This window comes from Homo sapiens, chromosome 7, assembly GCF_000001405.40.
Source record: "Homo sapiens chromosome 7, GRCh38.p14 Primary Assembly".
Taxonomy (NCBI): domain Eukaryota; kingdom Metazoa; phylum Chordata; class Mammalia; order Primates; family Hominidae; genus Homo; species Homo sapiens.
This window is the reverse complement of record NC_000007.14, coordinates 86,672,688-86,688,823: the sequence shown is the minus strand read 5'-3', so window position 1 is coordinate 86,688,823 and position 16,136 is coordinate 86,672,688. Positions and strand designations below refer to the sequence as shown.

The window sequence follows — 16,136 nt, the reverse complement described above, 5'->3', positions numbered from 1 at the left end:
ATATATATCATATGTGTGAGAGATATATATCATATCTCTCATATCACATATTATATATGTGAGAGATATATATATACGATATATATATATCATATATGTAAGAGATATATATCATATTTCTCATATATATATATGATATACATGGTAAAGAGTGCTCTGCAATTGTTGGATATAATGTTCTATAAGCCAAATTAGGTCAGTTTGGTTAATGTCATTCTAAACTTCTGTATCCTTTTCTTTCGTATGCTTTTTCTATTAGTTATTGAAATTGGTCATAGCCTATGATTGTAGATTTGTATATGACTCCTTTAGTTCTTTCAACTTTTTGCTTTATACAGTTAAATTTTGTGCTAATTAGGTATTGAAAACTTTGTGATTTTATAGCTTGCTATGGACTTAACCCTTTTATGACTTTGAAATGTACATCTTTATATTTTGCACTTCTACTTAAGATCTACTTTTTTCACTGTTAATTTAACCACATAATTTTTCTTTTTGTTAATATATGGTAGACTTATTTTTGTCTTTATCCTTTTTAACTATGTATTCATACATATGCTTACAATGTTACTTCTGTAAACAGAATAAAACTGCATTTTTTTTCAAGTCTGACAAATTCTGTGTTTTTAGGTACAATTTTATTTTTTACTTGCTTAGAATTCTCTTTCAGTTTTGAGGTGTAATTGACAAATTATATTCGAGGTGTAAAATGTTATGTTTTCATATACTTAAACAGAGTGAAATGCAGATTTTTTTTATTTTGAGAGTTGACTCCATTTACTTTAAATATCACTGATTCAGCTCTTTTAAACATGTTATCTTGCTATTAATACATTATCCTGTTTTATCCTTTATTTCTCTTTTCTGGCTTCCTATTTATTCATTACATTATGACATTTGTACCTTAAAATCTTTAGATTTTAATTTTATATTTTATTACTCCTCAGTGTTACATTATTAATTACAATACATTTTTATTATTTAAACATGCAAAACATCATTTAATTTCATCATTCCCTTTCGACCTTTTGTACTAGCCTTACAATATATTTCTACATGTTGTAAATTCTGTAAGACATTATATATTGTTTTACTAGCCCATATGCAATTACGTTTACCCCAAAATTTATCTTTTCTTTTCCACTGTTTCCTAAAGTTCTATATGTCTATGAGATCATTTTTCCTTCAACCTAAAGAAGTCCCTTTAGTATATCTTGTAGTGTAGGTCTGCCCAGAAAAACATTCTCGGCTTTTGTTTTTCTGAAAATGTCTATTTTGCTTTCATTTTTCTGAGAAATATTTTTACTTGTACAGAATTCTAGGTTGATAATATTATTTTTTTCTTTCAGGAATCTAAGTATATCCATCCATTGTCTTGTTTCCCTATTTTTCTGTTGAAGAATTGGTAGTCAAAATTAGTTTTTCTTAAACTGAAGATAACATGTACCCTGGCTACACCCCAGGCACTTTTTAAATGCTCTTTGCTTTGTTTTTTAATAATGTTACCATAATGTCCCTAAGTGTGGTTTTATTCACCTTTATTGTGCTTTGTGTTTGGACAGCTTTTTGGATCTTATGTCTATAAAATCAGACATTTTTCATCAATTTTGAAAAATTTCTGGCCAGTATTTTTCAATCATTTATGTTCTAGCATTCTATGTTCTCTCTTTCTAGTGCTCTGATTACATGTATATCAGAGCTTTTCATGGAATCCTATATTTCCCTGACTTTTTTCCTAGATTTTCTACTTTTTCTTTTATAGGGATTAATCACAGCACTTTTTATTGACATGTCTTTAGTTCACTAAATTATCTATTCTGATGTTTCCAATCTGTTATTAAACCCATCTACTAAATTCTTAATTTCAATTTTTATATTTTCAGTTGCAGGATTTCAGTTTGATGCATTTATGAATTTCAGGTTTCCACTGAAATTCCATTCTTTCCTCTATCCATTTGAATATATTAATCATTGCTATTTAAAAATATATTTTATAATTTTAATATCTAAAATACCTAGGTGTCTGTTTCTATTTTTTGCGTTTCTTTTATTTGCTGATGAGCTTGTTTTTAGCAAGCCTTGTATGTTTTGAATCAATGTGCATATTATAGACAAGTTAAATATCAAGTTTTTGTTTTGTTTTGTTTTTTGTCAGCTATAGCAGTAATGCTTTATCTTGATCTTTTAGTTGGTTGCTTTTAGTCTTTGTTAGGGCTGATTACATAATATTTGCCCTTACACTTGAGTGAGGCTTTATAGACTCTCAACTCAAAGCTTGAAGTTTTTACCAAACCTTTGTAATTTTGAGGCACTCAAATACTAAACTGTTTTTCCTTAAAAACGTCTCTGAAATATCTTTGCAACCCCCTGGTGATTTATATTGTTTCCTTTTTTGGAGTTTTGCCCTGTGTATCACACAAGAAAAATTTTGGAACCATGTTTTAGGGTTCCCTCATCTGGGGCTACCTTCTTGCTTGAATTTTGCCCCTTCTCACTTTTCTGGCAGCTCTAAACTCTTATATTTGTCTCTTCAGTGAAGCAAGAGACTTTCATTCTGATTGAGCTCTGTTCTCCCATGCCAAACTGGAGCGTGTCTATGGAGAAATACCCACTGAAAGCATATGTCTTCCTTTAGGATCATAGCCGCTTAATTTGCTGCTTATTTTCATAGTTCTTTAGAGACTTCAATTTCAGTTTTTATATTTTGTCCAGGGGTTTAATGGTTTATAGTGTGAGAGTCTGACATAACTAATCTATCTTGCTCATTATTTAAACTGATAATTATTATTTTAAGCTACATATATTAAGCATTCATTATTTGCCAGATACGGTGCTCAAGGATTTAATTGTATTATCTCATTAAATTCCCACAGTGGTCTTTGGTGTAGTTATTAGTATTTTTTTTTTTTTTTTTTTTGGAGACAGAGTCTTTCTCTGTTGCCCAGGCTAAGAGTGCAGTGGTGCGATCTCGGCTCACTGCAGCCTCCGACTCCTGGTTCAAGCAATTCTCTTGCCTCAGCCTTGTGAGTAGCTTGGACTACAGGTGCGCCCCACCATGCCCGGCTAATTTTTTGTATTTTTAGTAGAGAAGGGGTTTCACCCTGTTGTCCAGGATGGTCTCTTTCTCCTGATCTTGTGATCCACCTGCTTTGGCCTCCCAAAGTGCTGGGATTACAGGCGTGAGCCACCGTGCCCGGCCCCCATTTATACCTTTATAGATAAGGAAACTGAGAAAGGAGAATGAACTAGTTCAGGTCACATTGGCTGCTTATCCAGATCTGTCTGACACTAAGGTGACATCATGCTGTTTCGAAAGTGAATGTCCTTTATCTTGAGCAAGAGAGAAAGCCCACTTGCTCACACACACAGGTGCCAGAGCTTGTTTCAGGTTCTCACTAAGAACACCAGGGCTTGCTTTTCTGTTTTTTCTAATCGATGATGCCTTGTCTACATAGACTTATTTTGTTTCTGGTTAGAAACCAATCTGTAAGTTTTACTGGTAATATGATACAGCAGTTTTAAAAAAAACAAAACTTACTATGTTCTCAAAGCTTTATTTAGGAATACCTTTAAGGGAACAATGTATGCCATACCAACTGTCTTTGGTGCTTTAATTGGTACTTGAAAAACTTCAGATAATTCAATACATCTTTAACTGTTTTCTATTTCATTTTTTGTAGTTCATTAATTGAGGATGGAAGTCATGCTGCAAATATGAGGATATTGAGATATTTTAAATAATGAGAAATTGAACCTAGCAACAATTTTCAATCTATAAGAAAACAAAAGTAACAGTCTGAACAAACAAATAGGAAGTAATTAGTGATAACATGGATAGCATGCTTCCTTTTTCTCAGTTACTATAAGTACTTTACACAATTAATCCTCATACCATCTCTCTGATATAGGTCATCTTGTTATCCACATGTAACAGATGAGAAAACTGAGGCACAGGGAGGTCTAATAAATTGCCCATGGTCACAAAGCTAGAAAGTGGCAGAGATGAGATTTAAAATCCGGCTGTTGGACTCTTTATTTAATATTCAGTGAAATCTTAATTAACCTGAATTCTTGAAGAATAGGATGTCATTATTCCTTGATTCTGTGATTAAACACTGTTACCATATTTTCGATTTTAACACTAGCTAGAAATTTTGCTAAGTTCACTTTACAATATATTCTTCAGATACTGCTAAAGAGCAAGAGGGATAATGGAAGACACATTTTCTTAGAATTTTAAGCTTTGAGGGGAAAGAGGGAAATTAAGGATATGGAAGATTACTAGTTATATAGGTTGTGAAAGTTTCGAGAATCATAAAGCAGTCTGAAAATTGGTTAGAAACATAGACTTGTTGCCATCTGATCATTCATTAAATCGTTTATTCTGTAGACATTTATTTACTACATTGTGCATTGAAAGAAAAATATCATTGAATATTTACCATGTGCCAAATAATGTGCTAGGTAGTTTTATAAACATTATCACATTTAATGCAACAGCCCTCTGTGGAATGTATTATTACTCCTATTTTCAGTTGAGGAAACTGTGTGGCTTAGTGGACATTCATAATTTGTGCATTGTGGGAGATAAGGGCTGTGCAAGTGACTGAGATGGGCTTTGAGCCGAAAACTAAATGACTCCAAGAGCAAGGCTATAATGTTGCAGGGTGTGGGTCTAAGACTTCGGGGAGGGAGTGGCAGTTCCCGGAGGGTAAGAAACAGTTTCAGACCACGAAGAACTTTACAATCTTGTAAAGGGATAAAAAAAAAATCCCCAGCAAATATAAATCTAATAGTAAAAAGAATGCAATACATACCTTGATTGAGATATAATATTTAGAGCTTCAAAGGAGGGAGAGATTACATTCTGTTGTGATAATTAAAAAACCGTCCTGGGAAAGTGGTCATTTATGACTTGTAGGATACCATATAAACTGTACACCATGATCATGTGTCACATAATAGTCTCTATAGTATCACTTTTGTACTAGATATAGAAATGGCTGTTCCCTACTCTTATTTAAACCTTCTATTAAAGGCACCTGGCACTTTCCAGTTCATATTGTGATTAAATTTGCATATGCTTTGTCTTAAGACCTCCTTCAAGGCAGAGACATATTCCTTAATGGGTCCCCACCATGTCTGGCATGGTGCCTGTGACATAGCAGGGGCTTTTCAAGATCTCATTTCCCTTGGTGTCGGTGATATCAATGCTATCCTGGCTACTTTCAATCTCTCTGGATACTCTTTAGGCTCTCTTAGGCAAGAAAGTGGAGTCCTCAGTGTATTCAATCTCCTGACATCTGCCTCTCACATAGGACCTGTTGAAGGACTTCATGAAATCTCATAACTTCAGTTATGGTCCACGTGCTGATGTCTCCTCAATGAATAGATTCTTCTGAGCTCTGAATTGATGTGTACAACATACCTCCATCTTTGTGGTGCACAGGTACTCTAATGTCAGCATGTCTCAAACTGAACTTGTTATTTCCTCTGCTCCAGACTCTCAGCTCTTCCTACATGTTCTGTTGCAGTGAATGTTAAGAGCAGGACCATCCAGATACCCAGGCCACTTGACTCCTTCCTCTTCTCCTCTCCTTGCTTATCTACATCTACTCAGTCATGAAGTTCTGTCATAGTCAAGGAGATAGTTCTTCAACCTCTTTGCTCCCATAAATTTTCATGGCCATTATTTGAGTTCAAAACCTACCATGGCTCATCTAGATCACCTCAGAGTCTCCTTGACTTCAGGCTTGTTTTCTTGTGATCCAATGTTTTCAAACTGCTGTCCAGAATGATTTGTTCAGTTCAAATCTGAAAATGCTCTCCCTTTCAATATCTTGGCTCTTAATTCTTATTCAATTAAGCCCCTCAGCATGGTAACTATGGACAGCCTCTTTTTCTCTACTTTATCTCTTGCCTGTCTTTGTTTCAAACCAATGTCCTGTCCATATTGAATTGTGCTTTTCTGTTCCTTGGCATATTCACTCTTATAAGAATATTTTGAAAAAAGAAATCTTGCTTTCTATCTCTGAACCATAATGACTAGCTCATTCTCTGGCACATTGCAAGAGCTCAATAAATAGTTGCTGAATGATTGGATTAAAAAAATGCTTGAAAAGTAACTAAAAATAAGGCTGAGAAGAAATAATTCACCTCTCTTAATGTGAAAATTGAAATTGGTAAGATTTGGGGCATGCTGGATGATTTTCTACTTCATGGCAATACACCTTTTATTTCTTAATTTTCATCACTGCTCTGCCAGAATTATCTCCAAACAAAAAATAATACAAGTGTAAACCAAAACATAATGTAAAACCAATGATAATAAATAAGCAGAATTTCTCTTAAGTATGCTCTAACATGAATCTAGTGGTCATCATTTTCTTTGTAATTTATTTTTATCTTACTGGGTACATAGACTTGGAACCCTACAAGCTGGATTATTTAGTATTGCAGTGGCATTCGCATAAAATACAAGTGCTAATAATATATGTACAAGATTATGACACGTACCATATTTTACTTCTGTAATTTTTAAAATAATATCAAATACTGCTCTATTGACATTTTTATTTTACATACTTATGATCCTTTGTGAAGGAAAAATTAAAATTATGGAAACAACTAAGTTGTACTGTGAAAAACTTGTAAAAATATGTCTGTCGGTCTATCATCTGTCTATTTAATCCGATGGTGTTATTTTCTCTCTGCTTTGCAAATGCACTGTTTAAGGATAAGAATTGTTTAACCTCTCCATGTGATTATTTGAAAAATCCAACACTGGAATCCCATGTTAGAATTAATGAATTAACTTCTGAAAGTGTGGGGTATATACTTTAGGCAACGTAACTGATCTACGAAGCTTGCTTTGTCAGTACCTGTGAATCTTCACTTCTAACACAGGGATGTGAATATTATACACCACCCACATATCACAAGAACTTTTTTTCTCAGGAATACAACCTAAGTTTATACTTTTAAGTGGGTTATTATTTCTTTGAAATGCAAGACTAGTTCCACACTTAGTTCATCTTTATCAGTGTTTCTGTGCTTGTTGAAATCATGAAGATGAAATATAAGAGTATGAAGAGATGATAGGGTTCAAACCAGGAAAACCCATATGTGAGATGTTACCTCAGCATTCAAATATATACCAGAGACGTTATACTATTTCCTCAGGCATAGTTGCTCCATCTGCTCATGATTGCCAGCTGCTGTTGGCATGAATTCCACACCCCGCCTCACCCCCCAGCCACCAAAGTCTTTGCTAAATTAAAAAACAGAGCCATTGATGAATAATGTAGACACATTGAAAAAAGAGCATATTCATTCCTTATTAATGCTAGGACACAGTTAATGTCTTATTCTTTCTATTTAATTTCATTAATGTGACATGATATAGAAAAAGAGGAAAAAGAAAACGTGAATGAGATATAGTATCTTTTAATCTTAGAAACTGATGGCATATTAAAATTAACCTAGATGGCCCAATCCCCTTGGCCAGTATGGAGATCCCCTCTGAGACACTGAATTGTGGGTTCCATCACTTATGCTGAAAAACTCCATTGATGAAGTTGCTGTATCAGTTTTGTTACAGCTCTAATTGTTTGAAGACATTTTTTCCTATTTCTTTTCCTTGTCTTATTATGCTGGCCAGGACTTACGGTACGAGTTTAAATAAAAGGAGTGATAGTAGACATTCTCATCAAGTGTTTGCAAATATTGTGAGAAGAAAATCATCCTATTTACTGTGTGGGTGTGTTGTTAATCCTGCTATAGAAATGCTGTGATAATTGTGCTGCTTTAAGTTATATGTGAACATTGAACTATATTGTGGATTGGGCCAGAGAGTAGGAAGAGAGATCCTAGCTGGAGAAGAGAAAGAACTTAGTTTCTCTTGATTTGGGCTGCCAAGGGGAATGGTACATTACATGTGGGCAGGCCAGGATTTAGGAATTGTGAGAGGTCAAAAAGAAGTACCTATGAAATTGTGTTTGTCCTTGGTGGCTAAAGTGTAGCTAATATCTGAGAGCATGTGAAATGGGAAGGGGCTGGGAGCTCTAAGAACAAGTCAGCTATGTGAGCTCTGAAACTTGGGCTTCTTATTTATACAGTTCTTGCACTGTCTGGGATCATTCTTCCCCTGCAATCATTTAGTGTTTAACAAAGTCTTACTGAAAGCTTGAATTTGTCTAAATTATGCTATAGGGTACTAAGGACAAAATGTCCTTTTGTCCAGTATTGCGCATTAAAGTGAGATGTATTAAAATGGGAAGAGAAAACCCAACACTTGCATAGTAGAGGCAGCTGGCAACCTATAGTAAAAACTGTGGAGGTAAGGTGAAACTTAGGAAGATAGAGGTAGTAGTGTTAGTTGTCCCAGTGTCTGCAGGACAAAATACTAGAAATTTGAGCTTTATTAAGGTATGCCATATTGTCTGAAAGTGTTCTTCACAACTTCCCTATGAGTTTTGTTCTTTAACACAAATTAATCCTTTTGGAAATATTGTGACTAAAGGCAATAATAAATACACATCCTGAGTCCTAAAATATGTTATTCCAATTTTAGTAGTCCTCTTAAATATTTTCTTTCAAAATACCCATGGTCCCTTCAGTAATCCTCATGCTTTGTGGTTCCTAGGCGCTTTATCATGATTGCTCATTTCTAGAACCTCATGTGCCTTTCAGAATGTGACAGGCTGAACTTCTCAGCATACTCTAGCAAAGCAATGGAATACTGCAAAGGACAGTCAGACCACCTGGTACATTCCTTGTTCTGCACGCTTGATTTCAATTAGTGAAGGACAAGTCTATATTTTGATTTATTTTTCCAGTTGGATTATAGAGAATTTCCTAAAGAATATTGTGATTGTCTTATTTGTAAACAACAAGAAAGAAAACAAAGTTCATGTTGAATATATTTTTTATTTAAATTCATGGCTCTGAGTGAACAAATTAGAAATTTTTCTGTACTGGGTATCCTGATATAGCCACTGAAATGATTCTTATTTTTAGGTAACAAACCTCCCCGGGCAGGTTTTGGAAATAATGACCCAATAAAGTATGAGCTGTGGGGAAAAAGGACCCATAGAAAAGACTCCATTTCTGATGGAGATGATCAAGGGGATGAGTGAGAGAACGAGGAGGAATGAGGACAGGAATGGGTTGTGGGCGGCAGATGCCAATGAAGATACTCCTATTTTCTTCCTAGTCTGATGTACATAATAAAGAGATCTCTCTTCCTTTTGAAAACGTTGGCTGTGTTTAATTTTATTTTCCCATGTGAGTATAGTAGGATTAGGCTAAGTGGCTAATTCCCCTTTATCCTCGATTCCTCTGAATAACTCAGTGTGATCACCCAGAACGATTTTAGCTATATTGAACTTACAGATAATGAAAATTAATAGGTCTTTTTTCCCCACAGGAAATGCTAACAAGGTGGTTTCTTCTTCCTGTATTTGTCAAACTTACTCCTTTTAAAAGTGTAGTTCTTTATATTTAATCAAAATATATTTGTGTATGTATATTGTTTTATCGCATAACTTATCAAAATCTTTTATAACCCAAATTCATTTACTTAAATATTTCCTTCTACAAATTCATCACATCTACAGATATGATATGCCTGTCACTTATGTATTCATTATCCTGATCACTAATAAGATGGTCAGACAAGAGATTACAGCTCCATGGCAAATCACTGCAGAGAAAAAGATGAATCAAGGGTTACATGACATATTAATCAATACGATACGGCCATTTACCTAGCTATTAATATGTACTTCTATCCTATTCATCAATCTACACAGTCTATCTTGACCATAGTGATAAAAAAAGACTTTTCCAAAAGCTATGTGAAATCACAAAAACCCTTGCTATCAAAAAATTTCAGAATTAGAAGCCTAAAAACCATGTACCATAGCCTTCTCACCCTGGAAAAAATATTGATCTACTAACTACTAACCTTATCATGAAAGCAGAAATGCCTTACACTGCAAATATGTTGACTCAAGAGCTCTGTATTACCTTCTAAGGGATCAAAATTTCCTTAAAGGTCCATTCTGGAAATAATGTTAGGATCAGTAGATTACAGTTTCATTAACACATCTCGATGTCCTTGTTGGAAAACTGGATACGTACTTGTCCATGTGCAGATTTTTCTCACCTTTCCTAATTGCTATGATTTCTCAGATATCATGTTTGAAATATCATAATTATATCTGTAAATTCCTTCCAAACACTAGCATATAAATCCCTTGGGCTTAGAGACATAAAATCATTTAATTATGTGCTCCTTTACAGTATTCTTAGACACCGTGGAATCACCCTTAAGACATGTGTTCTACTTCCAATGTGATTTGCTTTGACAGAAAAAGAGAGGCGGCGTTAACGTAACTTTTTCTCCTTGCAGGAATGGGGGTTAGCCTATTCTTTTCTTCTTGTTTTAAATATAACTTTAAAAATTATTTTCATCTTTCTTAGCATTATTCATAATCCTGAGTTCTTCTGCAATTCTGACATTCATAGTTGTGTGCTCCTTTATCTATCTTTTGTAGGTGACTTTTAATCATTTTTCTGTTTATGAAAGATATATTTACTAAAGAAAATTTGAAAACCAGATATCAGAGTGTAAAGAATAAAATAAAAATTCCATCACTTAGAAATAACTATTCATAGTCTAATATACTTCATTTTTATGCAGGTATATTTTTTAAAGTTAGAACCAAATTCATATTTCTATCCTTAAGTTTTACTTTGTAAGATTTTTTCCCATGACATCCAATATTTTTATAGAACAAAATTTTAATTATTTCAAAATACTTTATTACATTTCAATTTATTTACTAGTCTCCTTTTTGGGAAATTTAGGTTCTTCTAATTTTTTTGCTGTTACAAGTAAAATTGTGTTGAATAGTCTTATGCTTCAAATCTCCTTATCAGATGGTTCTTTAACCAGCTCCGATAATTTATTTAGATTATTATTTCTCATGTGATCATTAGCTATAATTTAATCTTAGTTTCCCATTCTTTGCGGGCCATTTTCTCCCATCTTAAAGTCTCCTTGATATTTTTTGAACTTTTAGAAATCTTTGCTAGATTATACTTATTTGGCTAGGTGGGCATATTTACCTTTTCCCAAGCCACCTGTCAATTTCCTAGTAAGTTCTTCCTTCTTAGCCAGACTGAAAATTGAAACTAATAAGTTTTAGAATTAATAAAAATCTTAATTTTCTTTCATGATACTCTTGTTTTCAGGTAAATGTTACTTTTCTTTGGGCTTCTAAAAGAGCAAATTAATAGCACAGTGACATATCTTGCACAGGTTTGGTGACCAAATATGCTTGACCTCAGCAGAAAGCCAACAGGTCAAAGAGAAATCTGGAAGTAGAAAACATGGTTTTGTCAGGTGATGGGAAGAAGGTCTCCAGAAGATGATGGTAGGGAGAGTAGTGTGGTTCTGATCAGCTTATTAGACTTAGGCAGGACATCAGCTGGCAACTGGAAATCTAGAGTTCTGGAACTACTTCTCATAACAGACATTTTTTTAAAAAGGTGTCAAGGTGCCAAGTGGATTAGTGCTTAAGCTAGGAATCTTGTTCTAATTAGGCCTTTAGTGATAAATGGAAATTAAGTGGAAGTCAAGTCATATAAATGAGAAAATGCAGAGTGGGCTAATGAAGACTCAGGGATAATAAAGCAGGTAGATAGATGCCTAGGGCTCCAAACAGTTATACCAACACTGGATTTTGGGCTACTGGTGGGTTTGTATTTAATATACATGATATGCCTCAGTTAAGATTGGCTTAAAGACTATATGAGGCTTAGAATGCAGATTTAAGGCCTTGGTACCTACTGTTGTAAAGGACTAAACTGTAGAAAAGGTACAAATAACCAAAAATCAAAGCATGACTATATTCAATCCTCTAATTTGGCCAAAAGAAGTCTCTATAATAGCAGATGAAAAGATGGTTAAATACCATTACTTTACCCCACCTCTGTTTAAGGGTCCATTGGAAAAGCTTTATTCATATACTTCATCTACATATATGGCCTGCATTATTGCCCAACTTCCTACAGTATTTGTTTCTTTTCCTTTATGCTTACCCTCCCAAATTTTGCTACTCTTTCACCAAATAAATTTGCTGTAGTTATGTTTATGATTTTTAGTGATTATTTACATCTTCTTAAAAGAGAGGCTAATATCGGGCCCATTTTAATGTTTGAACATAGATAACTTTTACATATTTTAGTCACTGATTATACCATTAAATTAGAATATACTTATGAGATTATATCTGCCTTAAAACACAATTTATTATGTCTATTAGTTTTATTCTGTCTTTGTATATTAATTTGAGGATGTATTTTTCACAGTCCCCATTATCCTGCTGCTTTTCTACAGAGAATTATTTGGTATTTTACCTTGTTAATTTTTTTGTTAGTATAGGAATTGTTTTTCATGGTATTCAGTCTTACACTTTTATTGAGATATTTTTTGTCTTCCTCTGATTTTAATCTAAAATCTTCTTGATCAGATCAGCAACTCTTCTAACAGATATTTTTTTCTAGTTCTTGTGAGATGTACTTCATCTCTTGCCAGAAGCTACATCAAATACTTGGTAATCTTTATAGAATTTCTTGGCTTGGAATTATATAAACATATTGATGAAATTCATGTAGCTTCTGCTAAGAGCTTTAGCTTGAGGGGAAAAAAAAGCCTAAGGCTTTAAGGTATTTTTGGTTTTTTTTTGTTTGTTCCCCTAATAGGACAATACACTGACGAATACAATCATTTCCTTCTTTTGATATTTATTTCCTTATTTATTGTTCTTGCTTGGGTTTCTTTCCACTTATCTCTCACATCTTTCTTATTATTGAAAGAATTAACAGAATAAAGATAGTTTTAAAGTTATTGAGAACTTAAATATTTTAAAAAGTCTACACTGTGAATTATTCTTGGTATTTTTATTTCTTGAACATATTTCAGAGAAAAAAATTCTGAGACATTTGAATCTATGGAAAATTTTAAAATACATGCAATGCTTCTTTTAGCAAGAAGAATTTTGCAAAAGATTTCCTCATTTTTATTTTGGATTTAAGTCTTTGCCTAGAAAATGGGGAAGACAAACTTGACTAGAGATAAATCAGATCAATATTCTACTTGCAGTATAATTCTTTAGAATAATGGTTTCAGAGCATTGCTTTCAATAGTTCACCTTCATTCCTAACCCTATTTGCAAGCTCTCCAAGAACATGTTAAGTCCAGATCTGGCTATAGAACTGGGAGCTTTATTCTCTGTGTTAGTGTTACTTTTTAAAGACAACTGGTAGGTTCTTGGCTCTCACTGTACTTGGATTTTGTTTGCTGGTTCTCAGGCTAGGATTACTTGTGTTTTAATTTCTGGCTGTCTTGAGGCTTCCAACTAAAACAGACACAGAATACTTTGGAAGCAGGGATATGGTGTTTTCCTTAAAGACTTATAACTTAAGCATAGCTTATCACTTCTGACCTCCTATGGGGGATGTCCTGGGTCTATAAATCCTACTTGAAAATGGTGGTATCATTCCAGAAAGAACTAAAGTGTATCTAGCAACTGTCAGACCACCTTGATCACAGTACTGGTTCTCCAAGAAGCCCTAAACATGAAATATGTCATGAAAATGTAGATATGAAGTTTGATTTGGGGTACTATTATAACAACTAGTGCTATACTAATTTATATAAGGATACAAAATGAATAATATGTTGCCCTCAGTGAGCTTACAGCCAGTTTGTATAAAGAGAATATGTGCAAGTTATTGTAATAGAAAAGTTATTTTACAGATATATTAGGAAGCAAGGAAGAGATGAGTCCTTGGCCTAGGGCTAGGAGTCATATTTCTGAGAAATCTTGCAAAGCAAAGGTGATAAATGCATTGGGACTTAATAGATGAATATAATTTAGTCACTCACAGAGGGCAAGAAATTCTATGCAGAAAGTATAGGTCTGAGAAAAATCTTGGGGTCAAGAAACAGTAGTATATAGTGAATAACAAGCAGTTCAGTGTTTCAGTGTTTTAGAAAATCATATATGAGTAAGGAGTAATGGGGACTTAAAGTTGTAAACATACTCAGGGATCAGATTACTGAGTCTTGTAAGCTATGTAAAGAAACTGTGACTGTAGCTGTGCATAATGGGAGATATCTTTTAGGTGTTCATTAAGTGATATGACATTAATAGATTTATAGCTTTAACAGATTTTTCTGAAAGTTGTAAAGGATAGTGGCTGTGGTGATTTTAATCTATTTGCAAGTTCTTTGATGCTCCTTCTCTTAGAAGGTAGAGCCTAATTTCCCTCCCCTTGAATGTGGGCTGAACCTAATGACTCGCTTCTAACAAAGAGAATAAAATGAAGTGATGGTGTATAACTTCAGAAACTAGATCACAGAAGTCATGTGGCTTCTTCTTTGTTCTCTTTCTCTTGGATCTCTGGCCCTGAGAGAGACAGCTGCCATGTAAGAACACTCAGAAAGACTTGTAGACAAGCCCATGTGGAAGGAATGGAGGACTTCTAACAATAGTCATATGAGGAAAACATCTTGGGGGTGAATCTTTTGGTCCTGGTCAAGCCTCCAGATGACATTAGAGAAAGCCAACAGCTGAACTGCAATCTTTGGAGAGACCTGAGCCAGTACCACACAGCTAAGCTACGCCTGGATTCCTGATCATTAGAAACCATGAGGAAGAATAATAAATGCTTGTTTTAAATGGCTACATTTTGGTGCAATGTGTTAGACAACAGTAGATAATCAATATACTGGTTTTAGATGGGAACAGGACTTTAGTGCAGGCAGATAAGTTAGGAGCCTGCTATAGTTGGTGAGGTTAGAAGTCGTGAAGTTCTAGTTTAGGGCAGGTAAAGGTGGGTAGGAGGCAAAATATATAAAAAGTGTAGGAGTCAAAAATTTCTTGAACTTAGAGAATGATTAAGTATGGTTATAGAAGAAGGAGTCAATGTTGATTCCCATGTTTCTGGCTTGGGCAACCAGGGTAAGAGTGTTGCTGACATACAAAGGAGGAGCGTATTAGAGAGAGAATGGATTCAGTTTGGGAGATCCAGTTTGAATTGTCTGAGATGTCCAGGTGAAATGTCTTGAATAGATGTACCAATGAGGAGATAGGGATTAAGGAATCATCAGCATAGAGGAGGTAGTTGAAATAATAAACATATATGTCATTTAGGGAAAGAATATAGAGTGAGAAAAGCAGTTGTCTGAGGAAGCAATCTGGAAGCAGTTGGCATAAACAGGATATTGCAGGAAGATATGAAGGAAACCAGAAGAGGTAGTGAGAGAAACTTGAAAATGTAGACAGAAGGCTTGGTTTTAGGCATTAGATAGGAAACTGCATTCTCTGACACCGGTAAGAAGGAGGAAAGAATGGGTGTTCTGGTGAGTTTTGAAGTGGATAGATAATTGGATAATTGAGAGGAATCATTCTCGATAGTTACTAGTTTTCCAGATGAAGTAACAGGAGGAAAGATGTCTTGCTACACTTACTTCCCCCACAAATAAGGATGATGCCAGTTGAGTAGAGAGGAAAGTCTTTAGCTGTAAGGGGAGAATGAGGAACAAAGTAAGCAAGGACAATTAGGGAATGGATAGGTTGTGCTGAGTGCTCAGTCATGCCTTTGATGTAAGTGATACCAATATGGAAATATGATAATATATATACCTGGGGAATCTTTCTGTTCCAGATCACCTGGAGCCCTAAACCTGATAACAATCCCATAGATAACAGCTTATCTATGTAAGACATACTGAAAGATTTTAAAGTTTGTTTTGCAACCTTAGTTCATTACCTTTTTTGGGTATAGAGAGGAGTCAATATTGATCTAAAAGATACTGAATAAGAGGTACTCTTTCAGAGAGTATTGGTTTTCTATATGTTCACCACTTTCCACACACTCATAGAGAGGGGAGGGGATGCTTTTGTGCATTTTTAGCAAAGTCAGAGAAAAGCATTTGTGAAAACTACATGGAAAGCTTGACATGAGTCTTCTAAAGTTTAGGGGACATGGTTAAAAGCTAAGGTTCTGGCTGGAGCTGGCAGAACAAGACAATGTGATGCTTTGAGAGCTAGTTGCATCTA

At 34.5% G+C, this 16,136-nt stretch overlaps 1 protein-coding gene across 4 annotated transcripts in view, besides 1 other annotated feature; it reads right to left on the bottom strand.

Moving 5' to 3' along the window:
• GRM3 (glutamate metabotropic receptor 3) overlaps positions 1 to 16,136 on the bottom strand; it is a 220,971-nt gene that overhangs the window by 176,056 nt on the left and 28,779 nt on the right. The window lies entirely within an intron of this gene.
• Positions 3,184 to 3,263: an enhancer, noted in NCBI's record as "active region_26222". NCBI's record gives its function as "activates an Ori minimal core promoter by ATAC-STARR-seq in GM12878 lymphoblastoid cells {active_cell/tissue: GM12878}" and the evidence as "EXISTENCE:reporter gene assay evidence [ECO:0000049][PMID:35858748]".